The following is a 24,234-nucleotide window of genomic DNA, read 5'->3' on the forward strand; positions in this document are numbered from 1 at the left end:
GCAAGCTCCACTTCCTGGGTTCACGCCATTCTCCTGCCACAGCCTCCTGAGTAGCTGGGACTATAGGTGCCCGCCACCACACCCGGCTAATTTTTTGTATTTTTAGTAGAGACGGGGTTTCACCATGTTAGCCAGGATGGTCTCAATCTCCTGACCTCGTGATTCACCCGCCTCAGCCTCCCAAACTGCTGGGATTACAGCTGTGAGCCACCGCACCCAGCCCTAACTATTCTTAATTCCTTTAACCATTTGTCTCAGGACATGATTTTCAGATCTAATTGCTTTCCTCTGAATGCTTACTAGTCAGTGTTTCCCTTACAACGAAGAAGAAAATTAGAATAGGATGATTACTGGCCACCTGGTTAGTTAGACAATAAATCTCAATTAATCCTATTTTAGCTATAATTATCAATTCTATGACATTTGCCTTTTACAAGCGCATTAAAATTACTGATTAAAAAGAGCTAGCCCAGGCTGGGTGCAGTGGATCACACCTGTAATCCTAGCACTTTGGGAGGCTGAGGCAGGTAGATCACTTGAGTCCAGGAGTTCAAGGCAAGCCTAGACAACATGGCGAAACCATTTCTACAAAAATAGAAAAATTAGCTAGGTGTAGGGGCACACACCTGTAGTCCCAGCTACTTGGGAGGCTGAAGTTGAAAGATCACCTGAGCCCAGGAGGTCAAGGCTACAGTAGCTGAGATTATGCCACTGCACTCCAGCCTGGGCAACAGAGTGAAGCCCCCATCTCAAAAAAAAAAAAAAAAAAAAAGCTAGCCTAGGACACTGGAGCAAGAGCTCCTTCTGAGTTTATCGTCAATAATCCTTTTTCAATGCAGTGGTTCAAAGATTCTCCTATTTGTATTATCAGCTTCCACTTTATAACTTGTCCTCAACTAAGTTTTATATATGACTTGCTGAAGATTCAATGTAATCATGGTACTTCTCTTATATATCAGTATAAAAGCAAAATCAGACAAAAAAAAAAGAAAGCATTTTTGTTCCTAGTGGACACATGCTGGAGGCTACTGAACACAGTACTTTTGTTTCTAGTCTCTTCAGTAATCCATGCTATAATGCTGTAAAGAAATGTCAATCCTACTGAAATTTCTAAATCCACCTTTCTGAAAACTGGGATAAACTGCTCTTTTTTTCTGGAGTTTCTCCCATTTTGCATACCTTTGCAAAGATAATGTGATCACATTGCTGAATTTTTTTGTAACTTGGTATAAAACTCTTCTAAGCCTACAGATATTAACTTCAGAGAAATCTCCATCTGTAGCTTTATTGTTCAGAAGTCCATTTCCATAGTGTACCTTCAACAATTATTCCCTCTATGTCCAAAGCTGCTTTTTACTAGCAATTGTTCAGTAGCCTTGTAATTTCAAGGCTTCAGGTAGGATTCCATTTCTAGAACTTAATCAGAAAATTTAGGGCCTCAAGAAATCTAAAATGAATAACCTGCTTATATATTACTACCAAAGGAATCTTTCTCTATTGTCCCTGACAAATGTTCTTCTAATCTCTGCTTACCTATCCAAAGTGACAGAATGCTTATTACCTTCTAAAAAGTTGTGAAATTAAGACAACCCAGAAATGAAGTGTTTGCTAAATTAACTTTCAAGATCCTAGATATTATATATGTACATATATATATTTACCTATGACATGTGTTCAGAAATCTGGCTGCATTTATCCATGAGGATTATGACTGGGTTATATGAAACTAAGAAGACTTAGTAGAGTTAAATTTTCCTTGCTAATTGTTAGAGCAGCTGGAAGTCTCATCTTGGCATCAGTATATGCCAATCTTTTTTTTTTTTTTGAGACAGGTTCTCACTCTGTTGGCCAGACTGGAGTACAGTGGTGCAATTACGGCTCATTGCATCCTCGATCTGTAGGCTCAAGTGATCCTTCCACCTCACCCTCCCAAGTAGCTGGGACTACAGGTTCACACCACCATGCCTGGCTAATTTTAATTTTTTTTGTAGAAATGAGGTCTACTATGTTGCCCAGGCTGGTCTCCAACTTCTGGGCTCAAGCAATCCCTACCTCGGCCTCCCAAAGTGCTGGGTGGGATTTTAAGTTAGCCCATAGACCACCTTTGGAGAGTACTCCTAGATTACCACTGAAACAAGTACACATTTAAAACATGGGTTAGTAATTATTTATCATTGACTTTCTAGCGTGTGTTAACAGACTGATTTCATTGTTAATTTAATTTAGTTACCTATGTTATTACTAAATGGATAATAAAGGTTGATAGTACAGGTAGTCTATGAACTGAATAAGTAAATATCATGCGACAAGTTTGACCCCATTATCTGAACCATTAATTGATTCCTGCAATGTATAGAAAAGATAGGTTGTGGGGTTTTGTTTGTTTGAGAGAGAGTTTTGCTCTGTCGCCCAGGGTGGAGTGTAATGGCGCGATCTCGGCTCACTGCAACCTCTGCCTCCTGGGTTCAAGCAATTCTCCTACCTCAGCCTCCCAAAGAGCTGGGATTACAGGCATGTGCCACCATGCCTGGCTAATTTTGTATTTTTAGTAGAGATGGGGTTTCACTCTGTTGGCCAGGCTGGTCTCGAACTCCTGACCTCAGGACCTCAGGTGATCCGCCTGCATCGGCCTCCGAAAGTGCTGGGTAAGATTACAGGTGTGAGCTACCACACCCGGCCTTATTGCTAGAATTTTAAGGTGTGTGTGTATAATTTGAAAGGAGTTTCTTTCAATCTACAGAAAAGCAGCTCCTGGGCTGCATTTTTATTTTAAAGAGGAAAGAAATGGGTTGAGTAATGACAGTGATCTCAATTGGTTTTTGATCTTGAAGTCCTTTTAAGAAATTTGTATATCTAGTATAGATAGCTGAAATATTAAATGGAATGCTAGTTATAATGAATTCAGCCAAGGGGAAAAATATTTTATAATACTCTCTTCTTTTAAAAAAAAAAAAATACATAGGCTGGGCATGGTGGCTCACACCTGTAATCCCAGCGCTTTGGGAGTCTGAGGCAGGCAGATCACAAGGTCAGGAGTTTGAGACCAGCCTGGCCAACATGGTGAAATCCTGTCTCTACTAAAAATACAAAAATTAGCCGGGAATGGTGGCACAGCCTGTAGTCCCAACTGCTAGGGAGGCTGAGGCAGGAGAATCACTTGAACTGGGGAAGTAGAGGTTGCAGTGAGCCGAGATTGCGCCACTGTACTCCAGCCTGGGTGACAGAGCAAGACTCCATCTCAAAAAAAATAAATAAATAAATAAATAAATTCCAGGAATAAACCAAGTTTTATCTTCCACTAAATTGCAATTAAATTTATTTTAATGCCCTAATTAGCAAATTATTTTGATTCTAGATCTAATAGAAGAATTTGTAATACAATTATTCAAAAGAACGTTTTTCATTACCTGGGATTGGGAGGGTATCCGGATGGGTATGGAGAGATTCCACCTGGCATGCCTGGCATGTAGGAAGCTAAAAACAATTTTTTTCACATTGTAAAAATAATATACAAGGCCTGAATATGTAGGCTACTGAATAAGATATACATCACACTGTCAATACACAGCAAAATTTCACAGTTAAAAAATCCAAATCTCAGCACCAAAACAAAACAAATACCTCTCCCTTTCATAATCCTGAAATCATTAAACATGAATTACAATACTTATGACAATCCCTACCAAAAGAACTGGCAAACAGGTCAACCTGGTCAGCTTTTAAAGTTCTCAAGAAGTCTATTACCTAAGAGCAAGTTCAATTTCAAATTTAGAGGAAGGTAATTCTGGCCTTCTTCGGTCCAAGGTTAACTTCTTAGAAAGTAACTTCTTTATTATATCTAATAAATCTTTTGATATTTCTTTTATAACTATGTTGGCCAATTAGCACAGCTGATTTTGTTGGTTTAAAGACTTCAAGAGACTTCAAACTACTATGAGAAGTCCTATACAAAACTTACATTATCCAGACTGTTAAAAACTAGTCTAGGTGACAGAGTGAGACCCTATCTCAAAACAAAGAAACAAACAAAACAAAAGCTTAGAAATACTAGGGATAAAAGGTTAAAACCCAGCAAGCTTAAAGAATACTTTATACATTCTTTAAAGAGAACGTGAATGCCAAAGAACTAAGATCAGTGGTGCCAAGAGGCTAATCAACATAGAGGAAGAAAAAGAGAAGTTAATCTTGAGCTTAACTGACAAAAAAAAATAGTAAAGAATCTGCTCTAGAGTGTTTAACATGACTTACAGTGACTGAGTACAAAATTGAATTGCAACAGTAACAATAGTATGGTCTCTTTCTTGAATACTGCACTTCCAATGTCAATTTAAAACTCAAAGAAATTTAGGAAAAAAAAAATGTTGCAGGCCGGCCGCGGTGGCTCACGCCTGTAATCCCAGCACTTTGGGAGGCCGAGGCAGATCACTTGAGGTCAGGAGTTCGAGACCAGCCTGGCCAACATGGTGAAACCCCGACTCTACTAAAAATACAAAAATTAGCTGGGCATGGTGGTGGGGGCCTGTAATCCCAGCGACTTGGGAGGCTGAGGCTCGAGAATCACTTGAACCTGGGAGGCAGAGGTTGCAGTCAGCCCAGATCATACCACTGCACTCCGGCCTGGGCAACAGAGCGAGACTCTGTCTCAAAAAAAAAAAAAAGTTGCTTAGGAGACTACCTGAATTTCTGAAAAGGTTACCTTTGTCATAGCGGTCACTCGCTATATTATCTGAGCAAATAAACAAAGGTAATGAGACTAGGAAATATTTGATATCTTTTTTTTTTTTTTTTTTGATACAGAGTCTTGCTCTGTCACCCAGGCTGGAGTGCAGTAATGCGATCTCAGCTCACTGCAACATCTGCCTCAGCCTCCCGAGTAGCTGGGACTACAGGCATGCACCACCACACCTGGCTAATTTTGTATTTTTAGTAGAGATGGGGTTTCATCATGTTGGCCAAGCTGGTCTTGAACTTCTGACATCAGGTGATCCACCCCCACCTCGGCCTCCCAAAGTGCTGGGGTTACAGCTACCACACCCGGCCAAATATTTCGTATTTCAAACTTAAGCAAGATACTCTACTCTTGGGCACTAGAGTCAACAGAATTTAATAAGATAAAAACAAATTTCTAATCCAAAGGAATTACCAGTACCTTTACTAAAAGAAATAGTAATCCTAAAATCAAGCTTATTCTGGGAAGGTAGGGAAGGAAAGAGAAATGGGTTCAAAAATTCTTTCTGTTAAATTCCCATTCAGCTTATAAACCAAGATGTTCCTCAGGAAAGAATGGATTAAAAAGGAAAAAGTATAATTTTCAGCAGAAGAAAAATGAAAGCACATATAATTTGTCTTGTAAGATAAACAAGTTTGGTTAATTATAATCTTAAAGAAAATTTACCAAAAAAAAAAAAGTCACAGCTCAAAACACAGTGAAATCAATGCAGATTTAGTAAATTCAAAATAAGTACAACCAACTCACAATTATTCAGAGTGATTTTTAAGTATCAGTAAGAATTATTCAAGAAAATAGAGATAACAGAGATAATATATTCCAATTAGGGGAGAAGCAACACTCTCTCCATGCTCCCACCACTCCACACAAGGTAAAATCATGAATTGGCTGTACGAAAGAGAAGAAAGCTAAGAGCTAGATGTCCAATTGTGTATACCCAGAATAGCTGAATGTGAACGCTTCAGTTGACCTTAATCCTTATCTACAACACTGATTTTGTAGTTGCAAAGAGAAAGGAGAGGTCAGACTACCTTTCAAGTTATATGTGCTTCCAAGCTGATCAAATAAGGCTATTCTGCAGCATGCATAATTTTAAAAATTCTAGCTCTATTCTACACTTTCTCCTCCATTTTGGAATCCAGCACAACCATTCTTAGATTTCTACCTACAAATGGAAGCCCAAATGCCAGTCTTTGGTGGGAATCTGTACATGCAGATGTGGGGCCTCAGAATACTTCCAAAAAATCCACTAGCTTGATAAACTAAAAAGCAAAGAAGTCATTATTTTTCTTTATTTTTTTACAAAGGTTTCTGTTCTCTTTTGTTTATATGAGTTTTAAAGTAAAATCTCAATTCTACTTACTATTTGGTGGCCCCGTTGCCTGGTATGGCGGATAGGATGCCGAAATAGGACGAGAGAAGACTGGAGGTTCATCTCCAAATACCACAATCATGACCTGAATAAGCCCCAACAAGTCTGACTGTGGCTACAAAATGAAAAAAAATTCAAGTCAGCTACAGAGTTGCTTTTCAGTAAAAAGAAAAAGGTTAGCCATTTCTCATCGGTTTTCAACTCAGCTTGATAATTTTCTTTGTAGGACCCCAATCATGAAAATTTCATTTAATTAATTTATTTTAATAGAGTTAAGTGGTTTTAAACATGATGTGCAGCAAGGTTCTTGCTTCAAGTATATAAAAATAGCACTAGTTAAAGCAGCATATTGCAAAATTCATAGAGTTTTGTTCTTCATTTGACTCCACAGAACTAACAAAAATTTATTTTATTGCCACTGTACAATGTATTATAAGTATACTGGTACAAATTTAGGGATGAATATGAGCAACAGTCACAATATTATTAAAGGCCATTAAAAGACATCAATGATATCTTGGAAATACGTGTTCTTAAAATTAATTTTTATTAAAGATATTATGAACTCTGAAATTACAGGTAGATTCTAGCCAAGTGAGGTGGTTCACACCTGTAATCCCAGCACTTTGGGAGGCCAAGGTGGGTGGACTGCTTGAAGCCAGGAGTTTGAGACCAGCTGGGCCAACATGGCAAAATCCCATCTCTACTAAAAACACAAAAATTAGCCGGGTGTGGTGATGTGCGTCTATGGTCCCAGTTACTCAGGAGGCTGAGGCAAGAGAATTGCTTAAACCCCAGAGGCAGAGGTTGCAGTGAGCTGAGATCACACCACTGCACTCCATCCTAGGCGACAGAGCAAGACTCTGTCTCAAAACAAACAAACAAAAAAATTATACGTAGATTCTAGCTTAGAAATTGCTAGATTGTAGTACAAAGGGGTGAATTGTTAAAGGATCTTTCCTTCCAACAATGACAAAGAGATTCCTATTTTTTCATAAGTTACTAAGATTTTCTCTCAAATACCTATTGAGCACTGGCCAGGGGTGGTGGCTTACACCTGTAATCCCAGCACTTTGGGAGGCCAAGGCAGGAGGATCAAATAAGGCTATTTTGCAGCATGCATAATTTTAAAAATTCTAGGTCTATTCCAGTACTTTCCCCTCCATTTTGTAATCCAGCTTGAGCTCAGGAGTTTGAGACCAGCCTGGTCTCTACAAAAAAATTAACTGTACATGGTGGCATGCGCCTGTGGTCACAACTACTCAGGAGGCTGCAGCGGGAGGATCACCTGAGCCAGGAAGGTTGAGGCTGCAGTATGACTGCGCCACTGCACTCCAGCCTGGGTTAGAGTGAGACCCTGTTTCAAAAAAACAAAAACAAAACCCAACAACAACGACAACAAAAAACAACAAAAGAAATATCTACCAACCACTAATTAAGCTGTGCTAGACAAAGTTGTTCAAAATGGCTTATTTGATTATTCTTCTTTTACTCCTTAATCTATTTTGTGTATATCTCATCTCACGTACTTCATTCATAAGTTCACTGAGTTCTGAAGAATTACTCAATCACCTTGATAGGCTAACCATCTTCATAGAAACTACTTTTTACACCCCTCCTCCCCCCAGACAAGGTCTTGCCATGTTGCCCAGCTCAGACTTGAACTCAACAATCTTCCTGCTTCAGTCTCCCAAGTAGTCAGGATTACAGGATTAGGATTGGCACTTCTTTTAATACTCCTGACAGAAGAGTTCAGTGGCAGTTTTCACCTTTTCCAAAGAACCAAACTCACCTCATTTGTTCAATTTTGACCTAACTCATGGAAGATGACAATTAATAACATTTCTCAAAGCTTTCTGTGAAAACTTGCTGATATCTACTTTTCCAATATTTTTCTTGTGTTTGCCTGTAAATTTATATACTGAGACTCGGGGTGTTATAAGCACAGTATCTGTGCAACACTCACAGATACTGTGGCTGGTGTGTGTGGGGATGGCCACTGAGACCACATGCTTTCTCAATTTTTCGGCCCAACAAAATTCCTTAACTAAATCATAGCCTCATGTAAGCCTCATGCATGTAGGTGAAATATAATTCACATCCCATAAACTTTCTCCTTTTAAAGTATACATTTCAGTGGCTTTTATTATTTCACGAAGCTATGCAACCATTACCACCATCTAATTCCATAATATTTTCATCATCCGAAAAAGAAACCCTGTACTCATTAGTAGTCACTTCCCGTTTCCCTTTCCCCACAGCCCTTTAGCAACCACTAATCTACTTTCCATCTCTATAGATTTGCTTTCCTAAATGTTTCATATAAATGAAATCATACAATATATGGCCTTTTGTGCTTGGCTTCTTTCACTTGGCATAATGTTTTCAGAATTCATTAATGTGGTAGTATGAATCAATTCTTCATTCATACATTCTTACAGTTTTGTCAAGGTAAGTTTTAATTATCATACCATTCCTTTTACACTAAATTCTTTGAAGAAAAAAATTAATATCTATGTTAATATCTACTTCCAGGCCTAATATAAAGCAACAGGTTAAGAATTCAAACTGAGGCGAGGCACAATGGCTCACACCTGTAATCCCAGCACTTTGGGAGGCTGAGGCGGACGGATCACCTGAAGTCAAGAGTTCGAGACCAGACTGGCCAATGTAGCAAAACCCCATCTCTACTAAAAAATACAAAAATTAGCCAGGTGTGGTGGTGGGCGCCTGTAATCCCAGCTACTCAGGAGGTTGAGGCAGTCTCTATTCTACTGAGTCCAGTCTGCTACTAAACCCATCTACTGAGTTCTTAATCTCTATTATTCTATTTTTCAGTTCTAAGATTTCCACTTAGTTTCTTTTTAATAAAATTTACCATCTTGTCCTCTATTTTCTTGAATGCACTGATCACAACCATTTTTAAGTCTGTGTCTGATAACCAAGTTACCTGTGTGTTTGTGGGGGTGGAGTGGAGGGATGTCCCGTTTCTATTGTCTTTTTTTCCTCTTGGTTCTCTTTCTTGGTGTACTTGATAAATATAAATTGTATGCTAGACATTGTGAAAAATTATAGAGAGTCTATATATTATCTTCTTCCAGCAAGGGTTCACCCTATCCTGTGGCAGGCAGACAGTCAGGATCAGGGACTGAGCTGATTGAAGGACAGACAGATTTTTTTTTTTTTTTTTTTTGAGACAGTCTCTCTCACTCTGCCACCCAGGCTGGAGTGCAGTGGTGCGATCTCGGCTCACTGCAACCTCCGCCTCCCAGGTTCAAGCGATTCTCCTGCCTCAGCCTCCGGAGTAGCTGGGATTATAGACATGTGCCATCATGCCTGGCTAATTTTTATATTTTTAGTAGAAATGGGATTTCACCATGTTGGCCAGGCTCGTCTCAAACTTCTGGCCTCAAGTGATCCTCCCGCCTCAGCCTCCCAAAGTGCTGAGACTACAGGTGTGAGCCACCCCACCCAGCCTCAAGGACAGATTTTTATAAGGCTCATTCTACCTCTAAGTTCTCCCTCCTAAGATGTGTTCTTCCAGTGGTGCCAACTAACAGCCTAGGATGTTTACTTGTTCCCCTTCTTGATAAGGTACTGAACTCCAATTGCCTCCTCAACCTAAGACTGCTGAAAACTTGGCTGATTTTCAGAGGCGTTCTGCTTAGTTTTTTTTTTAGCATCTTATCTTTGAAGCTCAGGAATTCAACATATCTCTTAAGGTGGGAAAATTCAGAGTATCTCATCTTTTCTTTTCTTTTTTGGAGACAGATCTTGCTCTGTTGTCCAGGCTGGAGGACAGTGATGCAATCATGGCTCACTGCAGCCTCGAATTCCCAGGCTCAAGTGATCCTTTCACCTTAGCCTCCTGAGTAGCTGGGGTCACAGGCACACACCACCATGCCAAGGTTTTTTTAAAATATTTTTTTATAGAGATGGGGTTCTCACTATGTTGCCCAGGCTGGTCTCAAACTCCTGAGCTCAAGCAATCCTCCTGCCTCAGCTTTCCAAAGTCCTGGGATCACAGCCATGAGCCACCATCCCCAGAGCTACTCACTTCTTTATGGCTTTTCTCCCAAATCTTGGATCTAAAAGTCCTAGTTACTTTGGTAGACAGAACAGCAACTTTTGTCTTTTCAGCCCTCTGAGACTGCTAGAGACTCTGCAGGTTTCTCTGCCTCTTAGCTAAGGCCCTTTGCCCAGATTCTCAGCCCTTCATCCTTCATCAAGAATAAGTAAGTAGGCTGGGCATGGTGGCTTATGCCTGTAATCCCAGCACTTTAGAAGGCCGAGATGGGTGGATCACTTGAGGTCAGGAGTTCGAGAACAGCCTCACCAACATGGTGAAACCCCACCTCTACTAAATACTAAAATACAAAACTTTTGTATTTGGTGGTGGGCGCCTGTAATCCCATCTACTCAGTAGGTTGAGTCTACCAAGCTGAATTGCTTGGACCTGGGAGGTGGAGGTTGTAAGTGAGCTGAGATTGTGCCACTGCCCTCCAGCCTGGGCAACAGAGTAAAACTCTGTCTCCAAAAAAAAAAAAAGGAATCAGTAAGTACCCTGGGGGAAAAGTTATTGGCAGAACTACCTCATCTCTTTGCTGTTTTCTTCTCTACAGAATCTTGGCCATACATGTCTTGATTGCCTAAACAGCTTTCCAAAGCCTTCCAACAGGTGTTGTTTGTATTTTCTCTTGCTTTTCTAGTTATTTTTCATAGGAACATTAATCTGTCACAGTTACACTATCAGACACATAAACAGAAGTTCCCTACTATTATTCTTGACAGAAATGCTTTGAGTAATCAGATTTGAATTCCATAACTACCTCACCAGGATACTATTTTTTAAAATGCACTTCCCACTATGTGAATCCTGCCTATTTTAAAAAGGTTCAACTAAAGCCAACAAAATATTGAATATAAGTATTCTGAAAATTACAAAGCTCTACAGAAACCCATTTCTTTTAGTCAGCCTTTTCTAATTTACCCTCAACTCAGTGATTAGTCCATTATCTGAACTTATCTATCCTACCTCGAATCCTCCTTGAGTGCTAAAAGAAAGCAGATGCTAGTGAGCAAAATATATAAAACATAACTAATTCACAGAACACTATGAATACTTACGTGTTTCCATTCATGTAGATAAGGAAGATATATCTTCCCATTTGCATCAACATGCTTTCCTGTTTTAATAGTCATTGAACTAGTAGGCTTAACAAAACAGATAGGGGGATTATATGGGTATGTGTCCAGTAGCCATAGGCATATTGGAATATTGTATGTATTACCTGAAAAAGAAATAGAAACTTCAGTTACTCTATTTTTATTATTTTTAAATTGAAGAATGGTTAAAGGAACAGAGGTTTAGTCTAGATACAATTTATACATATATCCGCATCCCCCCCATTCCTATTTCCCCCAGCAGAATTTATTTCCTGAGGGCAATAGCAAAGTCAGTAATCTTAAATTTTACTCAGTCTTCCCTAAACTTATACTTGCTTTATACAATGCTGATACTCAATTAACTGTTTTTTCCCTCTGTTTATTATGAATGGTTGACTTATTAATAGTGGCTCAAATGTCACTTCCTCTGTGATCTTCCCATGTGGCCTTGTTCTCCTCTGTAATCTCATAGCACTTTTTCATTTTATAATTCTATAGCAGTTACAGAATAGTGTAAATATCTATCTGTTCCCTTTGTTTCCCCTATTAGTGGAGTTCTTCCAGAAGAGGTACATCCTTTATTCATCTTTGTAGCCACAGCTCCTATCCTTATTGCCTTATGAATAGCAGGTACTATGTGAAATCAATGGGTAAAGGACATAGGTCTTAGCTAATTACAAGGAATAATTAACAAACAGAGCTGTCCAAAAACAAAATGGTCTCTCATTAAGCTAAATGCTTCCTCACCACTAAATATTTCAGCAGAGGGTGAAAGACAGGCTAACAGAGATCAATTATCTATCATTAGCATTATCACCAACATCACAACCATAAATAACAGCTACTTTTAACTGTCTGCTTATTATATTCCAGGCTCTGTGCCACGTCCTTTACATTCATTATCTAATAAATGCTCACTTCCCCCAAGTTAGGTACTATTATCCAAATGTCAAAGATATCCATATATAACATGTAACAAAACTGCTAAGATTATAGAGCAAGAACTCAAACATAACTCTGTCCTGACTTTGAAGCCTATATCTTAGCTTCCCATTGTCAGGAAAGTTTGAATGGTGTGGGAGGCTGAACTAGGAGGCAAGTAAGATCCATTTCTAGTTCTACAATTATTTGATTCAGTGAAACATTAAACTCCTCTGGTGAACTTAGGCACTTATTTGTTCATATATCTTGGTAAGGAAGTTTTAAGAAAGCTGAAAATGTTAGGTGTTACTGCCAAATGAACTTCAATTTGAATAGAAGTTAAAATCTATATCAGCATCAAAGCCCTGAGAAAGTAGGTTTAATTTGGTTATAACTCTTTGGCAACATATTTATTATGTATTCAAAATGCATCTATGCTGGAAACCTAATAAGACATTTACCTCTATAAGGCACAGGGATTGTTCCAGTGAGGTTCATTAGTTCCCTGGAACTGCCATCGTTAAAAACTGAAAGGAAAGAACAATGATTTAATCATGAGCATTTTTTAAGATACTCCCATAAGTTATTCTTTCAGAAAGACTGGTTAAAATTCATCATTATCCTTGAAAGGGGCTGACCTGTCAATGTATCATCCATCCTGTCCAATAACTAACAATTCTTTGTTGATTCACTCAATGTCATTGATCAGCTCTTTTTTGTTTTTTTTTTCAGAGTCTCATCCTGTTGCCCAGGATGGAGTGCAATGGCGCGATTTTGGCTCGCTGCAACCTCCACCTCCTGGGTTCAAGCGATTCTCCTGCCTCAGCATCCCGAGTAGTTGGGATTACAGGCACGTGCCACCACACCTGACTAATTTTTTGTATCTTTAGTAGAGATGGGGCTTCACCATGTTGGCTAGGCTGGTCTCGAACTCCTAACCTCGTTATCCACCTGCCTTGGCCTCCCAAAGTGCTGGGATTACAGGTGTGAGTCACTTTTAAAACTATTTAAAAATCACCATCGGCCAGGCGCGGTGGTTCGCGCCTGTAATCCCAGCACTTTGAGAGGCCGAGGCAGGTGGATCACCTGAGGTCAGGAGTTTGAGACTAGCCTGACCAACATGGAGAAACCCCATCTCTACTAAAAATACAAAATTAGCTGGGCGTGGTGGCACATGCCTGTAATCCCAGCTACTCGGAAGGCTGAGGCAGGAGAATTGCTTGAACCCAGGAGGCAGAGGTTGCAGTGAGCCGAGACTGTGCCCATTGCACTTTAGTCTGGGCAACAAGAGCAAAACTCCACTGCAAACAAACAAACAAAAAAACACTATCAAACAATACCATACTAAATGTTAACCTACTGTCTTTCTATTTTAGAGATGTGCAGACATTTATCCCTAGTCGCTCACAGTTATTTATTTATTATTGTTTTTTGGAGACAGGGTCTTGCTATGTTGTGCAGGCTATCCTCAAACTCTAGGCTCAAGCAATCCTCCCACCTCAGCCTTCCGTGTAGCTGGGACTACAGGCGTGCACTACCATGCCCAGCTTTTTTTTTTTTTAGAAATGGGGTCTAAGTTGTCCGGGCTGGACTTGAACTCCTGGACTCAAATGGTCTCCTGGCCTCAGCCTCCTTAGCCAGTATTAAAATGAAAAAAAGAAAAGTTCATAGCCAAATATAAACAATTTCTTTCAATCTGTATTTCTCATACCACACACATTTTTCTATCTATAATTTATGTCTATAATTAATATGGCACATAGTTTGTATTGGACAGCTATTATTTCTAACAATAATTTGGAATTAACACTATACCCATAGAGGAAAGGTTGTAATGTGCAGTACAAAAACATAGAACTATAGCCATCTACTGTGTAATGTTTGGGTCTACAATGGACTGCACATAAGAACACTGGTCCCATAAGATTATAATACTGTATTTTTACTGTAACTTTTCTACGGTTAGATACATAAATACCATTGTGTTACAACTGCCTATGGTATGCAGTACAGTAACATCTGGTATAGGTTGTAGCCTAGGAGCAACAGGCTATGCCATATAACCTAGGTGTGTAGTAGGATATACCATCTAGGTTTGTCTAAGTACACTCAATGATGAAATTGCCAAATAATGCATTTCTCAGACCATATCTCTATCACTACAAAATGCACGACTGTACATTCTTGACCTTTGTTATTTTACTTACTGTTGACGAATGTAAGCTATACCGCAATGTATTCTGATTTTGTGCATTTTAAAAAAGAAAACCACCTTATATAAATTTGGGGCTTTGTTTACTCTAAAAGTATTTGTTAACAATGATTTACACTTAGTCCAGCCACATGAAACTATACAAGACTTTATAATGGAGTCTTTGTCAGTTTTGATAAATGTATTTATTCTTTTATATGCAGTAAAAACTATAAAATTCTAGCTCCAACCATTTTTCTCCCCACTGAAGCCATTTAAAAACTAACTTTAATTTTGGTAATGTGAGGCCTTTGTAGTTCAAAATACCATTGTACATATAGTATGCAGACAGAAATAAGGTAGGCTGAGATGAGAAGGAATCGTGTCCTAGGTTTGGAAGAGGACTTTGGGTTCATGTCTTTATTGTTCAGGAAATGCAGAACTGATTGCCCCTCTGTTGCTTCCCACCTCTCTTCACCAGTTTCCTAATGTTTTCAAAGCCTTGGAAGCAAATGAAATTTAGAAAGTCTCAGCTACAAAATTCAGTTCCTTGCTTTCAGAGCTAAGGGACTCACAATGGACAAGCAGCAGCATGGGTTTTCCCTCGGCCCTGGCATATTATTTTCAAGGAGACAGGGTTGAAGAAATTATGTTAGGATTTGGTAGGGACAGAAAAGACTATTTTAAAATAAGGAAAACTCCAAGCGTTGTCTTGCCTTACAACTTTGTCTCAATAGAAAGTAGAGACAAACTGTTATGCTTACCTACTCTACAGAATTAAAGACCACATTAAATAACATTTTCCTCATCTATAAAATGAAAGGGACAGTCCAGAGTATAGTTTCGCAAAATGTGTTCCTGAAAATATAAAGAGACACTATGGGGGCAGGGAGGTTCAGCAGTTAAATAACTTTAGGATGTATTATACAATATATTCTTGCTCGTCTCGGTGATACACAACACATTAGCATACTAAAGGCTCTGATAAATCTTCATGCAATGAAACTCAATTTTGTTTAATCCATAAGTTGCTCAAGCTTAACTATAGAATTCTGCCTCTACCCCTGTTCCCAGCATAACTAAGGGTCTACAGACAACACTTTGGGAAATGGACTAAATTATCTTTAACATCCCCTCCTAGGTTTAAATTTGCATAGTTCTATGTTAGAGGTTTTGTTTTTTATTTTTTTGAGACAGGTTCTTGCTCTGTTGCCCAGGCTGGAGTGCAGTGGCCCGATCTCGGCTCACTGCAACCTCTGCCTCCTGGACTGCCTCCTGGACTCAAGCAATCCTTCCACCTCAGCCTCCTGGGTAGCTGGGACTACAGGAGCACCAGGCCAACTTTAAGTATTTTTTTGTTGAGACGAGGTTTCACCATATTGCCCAGGCTGGTCTCAACCTCCTGGGCTCAGTGGTCCACCCACCTCAGCCTCCCAAAGTGCTGGGATTACAGAAATGAGCCACCACATCCAGGTACAGTATTTTTTTTTAACATAAAAAACTAAAACTAAAGAAATATGAAATGTTTTTATTAGATCTTCTAATTTGCTACCCTCCAACAGTTTTATTAGGCGGTGGTGCAATCCCACAATTGAAAAATCCACAAACCTCAAATGGAAAAAATTACAATCATTAACAAAGAGAGTAAACTCAAAGTATAGAAATTGCTATTTTTACTGCATAAACTCACCATATGAATCCAAAACAGGTTTGAGATCTTTGTATAGAGTAATAACATTGACAGTTTCACGTACAGTTAGGTCTCTGTATTTGTACTGAAAAGCAAAATCGCATAAGAATTTAGTTTAAAACCAATGCATATATTTTACAGCTGGATGAATTTTCTTAAAATCTCTTCCACTAATTGTTAACATTAATGAAAGCCTGAAAGAACCTAAAAAACCCATAATACTATTATCACACTAAAATAATCACTATTTTCTTAACATCAGTAAATATCTATAGTCTCAAGTCATGTTTTTTATGTTCTCAGTTTGAATCAGGATCCAAATAAAGTCCACACATTGCATTGGTTAAAACGTCTCAATAATTTATATTATTTAACTCACCATTAATAGCTTTTTAAAGATATAATTCACATACCATATAATTCACACATTTAAAGAGTATAGTTCAATGGTTTTTAGTACATTTGGAGTTGTGTAACCACCACCATAATCAACTTCAGAACATTTTCACCATCCCTAAAAAGAAATCCATACCCTTTAGCAATCACCCCCCATTCTACTTGTCCCCAGCCTTCATCCTAGACAACCACGAATTTACTTTGTCTCTACAGATTTGCTTATTCATACAATGTGATCTTTCATGACTAAATTATTTCACTTAGCATGTTTTTGAGATTATCCACGTTGTAGCATTTATCTGTATTTCACTCCTTTTATTTATTTTGGAGACAGGGTCTCGCTCTGTCGCCCAGGATGAAGTAGAGTGGCACAATCACAGCTCACTGTAACCTCGAACTCCTGGGCTCAAGTGATTCTCCTGCCTCAGCCTCCCAAGTATACAGAACTACAGGCATGTGCCATCATGCCCAGCTAATTTATTTTTATTTTTGTAAAGACAGGGTCTTGCTATGTTGCCCAGGCTGGTCTCCAACTCCTGACCTCAAGCAATCCTCCTGCCTCAGGCTCCCAAAGTGTTGGGATTTACAGGCACGTATGGCCCACTTCTTACTGAACATTTTATTCACCTACTGTTCAGCTGAAAAATACTTAACTGATGGGCACATCTCTTTTTTGCTCCTTAGAATTTATTTCTTAAAGAAATTTGTTCATTTGTCCTACAGAGGCTCTCACAGTTTGGAATGTGTTAATTGTATCCCTTTAGTATAGTTTCATAGATATATGTTTCTGTGAGTTAGTTGGATCTAGAGGTTATTTTCATGATTACAAAATTTCCGGCCAGGCGTGGTGGCTTACACTTGTAATCCTAGCATTTTGGGAGGCCGAGGCAGGCGGATCACGAGGTCAGGAGTTCGAGACCAGCCTGGCCAACACAGTGAAACCCCATCTCTACTAAAAATACAAAAATTATCTGGGCGTGGTGGTCCGCACCTATAATCCCAGCTACTCAGGAGGCTGAGGCAGGAGAATCGCTTGAACCCAGGAGGCAGAGGTTGCAGTGAGCCGAGATCGTGCCCTTGCACTCCAGCCTGGGTGACAGAGCTAGACTCCGTCTTGGAAAAAAAAAAAAAAAATTTGCTTTTATATTTTTCTCCTCTTCTCTGGTAAGATCACTTCATAGAGGATAACGTTTTTTCATCATGGAGCACAATATATCTGAGTATCTCTGTGATATCAGCAACCACTGATGCTCAACGTCTAGAGACCTGGTCTCTTCAAATCCACTCCAATTAGGCTTCTACACTCAGCATTTCACTGAAATTGTTCATTAAGGTCACCAATAACTGCCACATGATATGTAATGACCAATTCTACCTTTGTCTTACTTCACCTGTCAGCAGTATTTGACCAAGCTGATTCAGCAATATTTGACCAAACTGATTCCTTTTTTTTTTTTTTTTTTTTTTTTTTTGAGATAGGGTCTCACTCTGTCGCTCAGGCTACAGTGCAGTGGTATGATCATGGCTCACTTCAGCCTCAACCTCCTGGACTCAAGTGATACTCCCACCACCGCCTCCCAAGTAGCTGGGACTACAGGCATGCACCATCACACCTGGATAATTTTTAAATTTTTCATAGAGACAGGATCTCACTATGTTGCCCAAGCTGTTCTCAAACTCCTGGAAGTGATCCTCTCAACTCAGCCTTCCAAAGTGTTGGTATTACAGGTATGAACCACTGCACCTGGCCCCTTCCTTTTTTTTTTTTTTTTTTTTTTTTTTGAGACAGCATGTGGCTGTCACCCAGGCTGGAGTGCGGTGGTGTGATCTCAGTTCACTGCAACCTCCACCTCCCAGGCTCAAGCAATCCTCCCATCTCAGCCTTCCAAGTAGCTGGGACTACAGGTATGCGCCACAGTGTTTGGCTAATTTTTGTATATTTTTGATAGAGCTGGATTTTAGCATGTTGCCCAGGCTAGTCTTGAATTTCTAGACTCAAGCAATCTGTCCACCTCAGCCTCCCACAGTGTTGGGATTACAGGCATGAGCCATCATGCCCAGCTCCCTTTCTCTTAAAACATGTTCTTCATTTGATTTCCAGGACATCAACTGTTCTCCTGCACTCTGTGCCTGTGCCTTCTCAGTCTCTTTGCTGGTTCGTTCTCTTATCCTAACCAATTATTATTGAGCACAGGCTAAGTCCTTGGTCTTCTTCTCTATCTAAACTCATTCCTTTGATCTCCCTCATGGTTGAAAATTAATTTATATGTTGAAACCCTTAAATTAAAATTTTCCAATCTTAACCTCTTCTCTGAACTCCAGAAAACATATATACAATTACCAATTTGACATTTCCCTTGGATATCTAATAAATGTCAAATTGAACATGACCAAAACTGAACTCCTCATCTTCTCCCCAAATTTACTTCTCCAGTGTCTTCCATATGTGTATACATACATATCCTTCCAGGTGCTCAGGCCAAAAACCATGACATTATCCTTGATGCCCTCTCTTTTCTTCACATCCACAGCAAATCTGTCAAAATATCCTGTTAGCTTTGCCTTCAAAATACATCCGGAATCTCCACAGCTACAGTCCTGGTCTAAGCCACCAGCACCTCTCACCTAGATTACTGCAACAGCCTCCTTACGTGTCTCTGCCTCCATCGTTAACCCCCTACAGTCTAGTCTCAGCATAGCATCTAGAGTAATATTGCTAACAGCTGAAACACAGCAACGGCTTTTCATCATACTCCAAGTAAATGCCAAGGTCCTTACAATGGCCTGCAAGGCCCTCCAAACCTCCCATACCATTGATGCTGTCTAGACCCATACCACCACTTTCCTCCCTTGCTCACTCCAGTCTAGCCACCATACCCTCCTTTGTTGTTCCTCTATCATGCATGACAAACTTCTGTCTATGAGTCTTTGCATTTGTTTTTCCTTCCTTCTGAAATGTTCTTACCCCAGATTGTTCCAGGTTTGTTTTTTTCTTGACAGGATCTTGCTCTGTCACCCAAGCTGGAGTACAGTGGTGTGATCACAGCTCACTGCAACCTCAAACTCCTGGGCTCAAGTGATCCTCCCATCTCAGCCTCCCAACCAGCTGGGATTAGAGGTATGCACCACGCCTGGCTAATTTTTTTATATTTTTAGTAGAGAAGAGACAAGGTCATGCTATGTTGCCCAGGCTGGTCTGGAACTCCTGGCCTCAATGTGATCCTCTAGCTTCCGCCTCCCAAAATGTTTGGATTTCAGGTGTAAGCCCCATGTCAAGCACACAGTTTCTTTACCTCTCTCAGGTGAGCTCAAGTAGATTTTTTCAGAAAGACCTCTCTTTACTATCAGATATAAAACGGTGACTCATCCCATTTCCACACCCTAGCATTCCCCATTTCTTCCCTGCTTTATTTTCTCTAAAGCACTTATCACTTTCCAACGTACTTCTTGATGTATTTATTGAGTTGTTTATTGCCTTCTATAAGAATTTAAATTCCAGAAGCACAGTTTCTTTGTCTGATTGTTCACTGTTGCATCCCTAGAACCTAAAACAGTGAGGGACATATCAATCTTTATTTTATTATTTTTATTTATTTATTTGTTTTTGAGATGGATTCTCGCTTTGTCACCCAGGCTGGAGTGCAGTGGCGTGATCTCAGCTCACTGCAACCTCTGCCTCCCAGGTTCAGGCAATTCTCCTTTCTCAGCTTCCCGAGTAGCTGGGATTACAGGCGTGCGCCACCATGTCTGGCTAATTTTGTATTTTTAGTAGAGATGGGGTTTCACCATCTTGGCCAGTCTGGTCCAAAACTCCTGACCTCAAGTGATCCGCCCACCTCAGCCTCCCAAAGTGCTGAGATTACAGGCATGAGCCATTGCACCTGGCCAATTTTGTTATAGTTTAAAATGTTTATTTTTTACTTTTTGAGACAGGTTCTCTGTCATAGCTCACTGTAACCTTGAACTCCTGGGCTTAAGTGATCCTCCTGCTTCTGCTTCTCAAGTAGCTAGGACTACAGGTGCAAGCCACGAAGTCTGGCTGATTTTTAAATTTTCTGTAGAGACAGAGTCTAGCTATGTTGCCCAGGCTGATCCTGAACTCCTGGCCTCAAGTGGATTCTCCCATCTCTACCTCCCAAAGTATTGGGATTACAGGCATGAGCCACCACACCAGGCCCACAGTTTTCTTCTACTCATTTAGCAGTGACTGTGCCTCTAGAAATGCTGTAGATAAACTATGTAAAAATATAAGTGGCTGTATGTATGAAACATCTAAAGTGGGAAGTTGTTTCTGTAAAAGAAGAAGGACTAATCTGGTATAAATATATCTGTTAATTGCAAAAATAACAGAGAAAGGTGTTGAAAGTTATGTTGAAGTTGGGAGCTAAGATAATGCTCAAGGGAAAAAAAGACCTTTTATAATAAACACATAAAACATAAGGCAGGTGGCCAGAGTACCATGATGTGTGTGGAGAGCCTACAATCAGATAAAGAGAAAACAATAATGACCTTCACCCTAGCTATGTGTTCAGGGTCCTGGCTAACAATTCTTACATCAGACCACACCAGCTGAAAGGAAAACATTTGAAGCCCTTCTTTAGGAGGAAGGAGCCCCACAACTGCTTCTATTACTTTACTTCCTATTCTTACCTGTCTAAAATTCATAGGTTGGACAGTACTAATGCTGATGCTCAGAATCGTCATAATCACATACAGGAGTCTCAATTTTCCAGATATTGAGTCAAGGACCAAAAGGCAGGTAGGATGCCCTCTCCCACCTCTTCCCTACCTCTGTTTTTGTTTCTAAAGTAATCACAGGTTGGGTGGAGGGGAAGGCAGGTAGAGGTATAAAATATCTTCTGAACATGCCTTGCCTTTGTCTTTGATGGCAGGTTTCTCTAGGGAAGCTTAGGAAACTTAATTAGGGTATAAAAAATAAGCTAATATTTGAATATTCTTGCTCTTTATATGAATATACATACATTAAGGAATAAATCTTTTTTTTTTTTTTTTTGAGATGGAGTCTTGCTCAGCCACCCAGGCTGGAGTGCAGTGGCCTGATCTCGACTCACTGCAACCACCGTCTCCCAGGTTCAAGCGATTCTCCCATCTCAGCCTCCCGAGTAGGCTGGGATTACAGGCACCCGCCATCATGCCCGGCTAATTTTTGTATTTTAGGAGACGGGGTTTCACCATGTTGATCAGGCTGGTCTTGAACTCGTGACCTCAGGTGATCCACCCGCCTTGGCCTCCCAAAGTGCTAGGATTACAGGCGTAAGCCACTGCGCCCAGCCCAAGGACTAAATCTTAATGACTATGCTATCAATTTAAAGATCAAAAATGTCATGGAGGCCAGGTGTGGTGGCTCACGCCTGTATTCCCATCATTTTGGGAAGCCAAAGCGGTGGATCACTGAGGTCTGGAGTTTAAGACCAGCCTGGCCAACATGGTGAAATCCCGTCTCTACTAAAAATACAACAATCAGCTGTGTGAAGTGGTGGGCACCTGTAATCCCCAGCTACTTGGGAGGCTAAGGCAGGAGAATCGCTTGAACCTGGGAGGCGGAGATTGCAGTGAGCCAAGATCGTGCCACTGCACTCCAGCCTGGGTGACAGAGCAAGACTCTAAAAAAAAAAAAAAAAAAAAAAGAGTCATGGAACAGATACTCTTCAGTTACATACTATGTAAAACAATATACCGTTTTTTTCAAAAAGTGATATATAAAAGTTACAACATGGATCTTTACCTGGGTCACAATCTTCTATGGCTTCCCATATGTCTTCTATAACTAAGGATAACAAGTTTATCAAAACAAAACCAAGAAGCCTAAAATATACGATTACACAACCAATATATGCTTTATTTTGAAAGCTGTCATTTTCTCCTTAGAGATTATTTGGTCTTCAATCAAGAACTATGGGGGCGATTTAACTGGAAAAAGTCTGTTTTTAAAAAAGTTTTACACATAATAGTGTGTTTTATTAAAAATTGAAACCGCTTAAACCGCTGATTGCTACCATTCTTGCTTTGACAAAACTATCCCAAGCTAACACGTTGAACTGGTCAAGACTCAACTCTCAATCATTTTACATAGTTTTGGAAAATTACAACAAAACATAACAAAAGCCATTCCACTCTGGTGTGAGGTGCCACGTTTGAAGTAATTATATAAATAAATCATGGCTTTAAAATACAAAATGCTTAACTGCTTTTTTAAAAATTGAAAAAAAAAACACTAGTCTTGAGCCGTGAAGATCATAAATTAAGCTCAAAGCAAATAAATACGCGTTATAAGAAGCATACACTTAAAAGTAGTTACTCTTAGAAAATCCCTGAAATGGTAATGGTATGTATTTCACCTGGGGCAGTAAGGGACTGGTATTTTCGCTTCTTTTCTGGAGAATACAAAACTGAAAAGGCCACACTCTCTGCGGGTCGGCAAAAGAAAGGCTAAGACTGGAGGATCCCTAGATTGGGACAGGAGTAGAGGATTGCCTCAGATCTACAACTAAGTATGATCCCTTGTTTGTGTTTATAAAAACAAACGAAAAACTACACTGCCCCACAGACAGCTCCAAACTCAGTGGAAGAGAGGAGGGCGGGTGGGCGGCAGGTGTCAGGTAGCCTCCGCTCCACGCCTTTGTTGACTGTCGCCGTCCCCCACCCTCCCAGCTCCCGTACGGGGATTCCCGCACCAGGCGACAGGCGCCTCGGGGCGGGGTTCTGAGGAGGTCGCTAAGGACTGCACCGGGGCTTCCGGCCCGTCTGGGAAGCTTGCTTGGCTGGGCCGGGACGGACTCGACAGGGCGCGGAAGGGAGCGGTGGGCGCGCCCTGGGAGGCGAGCGCGTCGCAGCCTCACCTTGGACACCATTTTCTTGAGCTGGCTCTCCGACACCGCCATGACGGCCGCCTGGCGACTCCCTTCCCCGCAGGCAGAGGGTCAGCCGCTGCTGGGCTGCCCCAGACCGTCCCACACAATCGCACACCCCCAACCCGGCCTCAAACAACAGGAAGTCGGCACCACTACACCACTTCCGCTTCCACTACGTCACTTCCGGGCCGCCGTCCTGCGGGCAAGGGTGGACACCGTGTGGGATTGAGAGGGGCCTGGTGGGGTGGGTTCCAACCAACCCGCCCCTCGAGTGCCGGAATCAGCAGGACGAATCGGGTCCCAAAGATGTGGGCAAGACTGTTCCGAGGGTCGAAACTCTGGTTCAGGATAAGATTAGCAGGTATTTCACAGAGTCGACTTAAGGAAGCTAGTGCCGGAGAGGGAAGAAGTACGAAGGGCTTGCCAGTGAGCCTTAATGACTGATTGATCAAGTGGGAGGGCACTGCACTGGCGGTCAGAGAACTGTTCTGTCACTGACTTGCTCTTGTGATAATGGTAGGCTAGTGCATTTCTAGCTCAGGCGCAAATTTCTCCCGACTCTAAAGTCATACACTTGCCTTAGATGATGCCCAGTGGTCCTCTAATTAATGATTTTTTTTAAGCTTAAAGACCTTCATACTATACGTTGGCAAGGGTAAAGTGTAGAGCCTTTGTTTCACAAGAAGCCAGATAGTAATTTCTTCTCCAGGAAATCATTCCGTAAGTCAGAATTTCTCCTCTGTACCCACCCATAAATGATAATACAGGCCGTATTTTACCTGGTGCTGTATTTGTGTACCTGTCCGCTGTCAAAATCCAAGCCCTTGAAGGCAGGCTTCCTTCAGATCTTCATTGCCTTGCACAATGCAAGGGTAGGTACTTCCATCTTAATTGAAT

General features: G+C 40.6%; 1 protein-coding gene across 2 annotated transcripts in view, besides 1 other annotated feature; it reads right to left on the reverse strand.

The window, feature by feature from the left end:
- TSG101 (tumor susceptibility 101) overlaps positions 1–23,493 on the reverse strand; it is a 46,632-nt gene extending 23,139 nt beyond the window's left edge. Inside the window, exons 1-7 of one of the 2 annotated variants that reach the window (XM_005253108.5) lie at positions 23,326–23,493; positions 22,212–22,253; positions 16,070–16,154; positions 12,650–12,715; positions 11,229–11,392; positions 6,093–6,216; positions 3,408–3,474 (exon numbers count right to left, since the gene is read on the reverse strand). In XM_005253108.5, coding sequence (XP_005253165.1) covers positions 3,408–3,474; positions 6,093–6,216; positions 11,229–11,392; positions 12,650–12,686 — 392 coding nt within the window. In that variant the 5' untranslated portion in view covers positions 12,687–12,715; positions 16,070–16,154; positions 22,212–22,253; positions 23,326–23,493. The remainder of the gene's footprint in view (positions 1–3,407; positions 3,475–6,092; positions 6,217–11,228; positions 11,393–12,649; positions 12,716–16,069; positions 16,155–22,211; positions 22,254–23,325) is intronic. The other variant, NM_006292.4, reaches the window with a different exon arrangement.
- Positions 23,653–23,762: an enhancer, noted in NCBI's record as "active region_4502". NCBI's record gives its function as "activates an Ori minimal core promoter by ATAC-STARR-seq in GM12878 lymphoblastoid cells {active_cell/tissue: GM12878}" and the evidence as "EXISTENCE:reporter gene assay evidence [ECO:0000049][PMID:35858748]".

This window comes from Homo sapiens, chromosome 11 (assembly GCF_000001405.40).
Source record: "Homo sapiens chromosome 11, GRCh38.p14 Primary Assembly".
Lineage (NCBI taxonomy): Eukaryota > Metazoa > Chordata > Mammalia > Primates > Hominidae > Homo > Homo sapiens.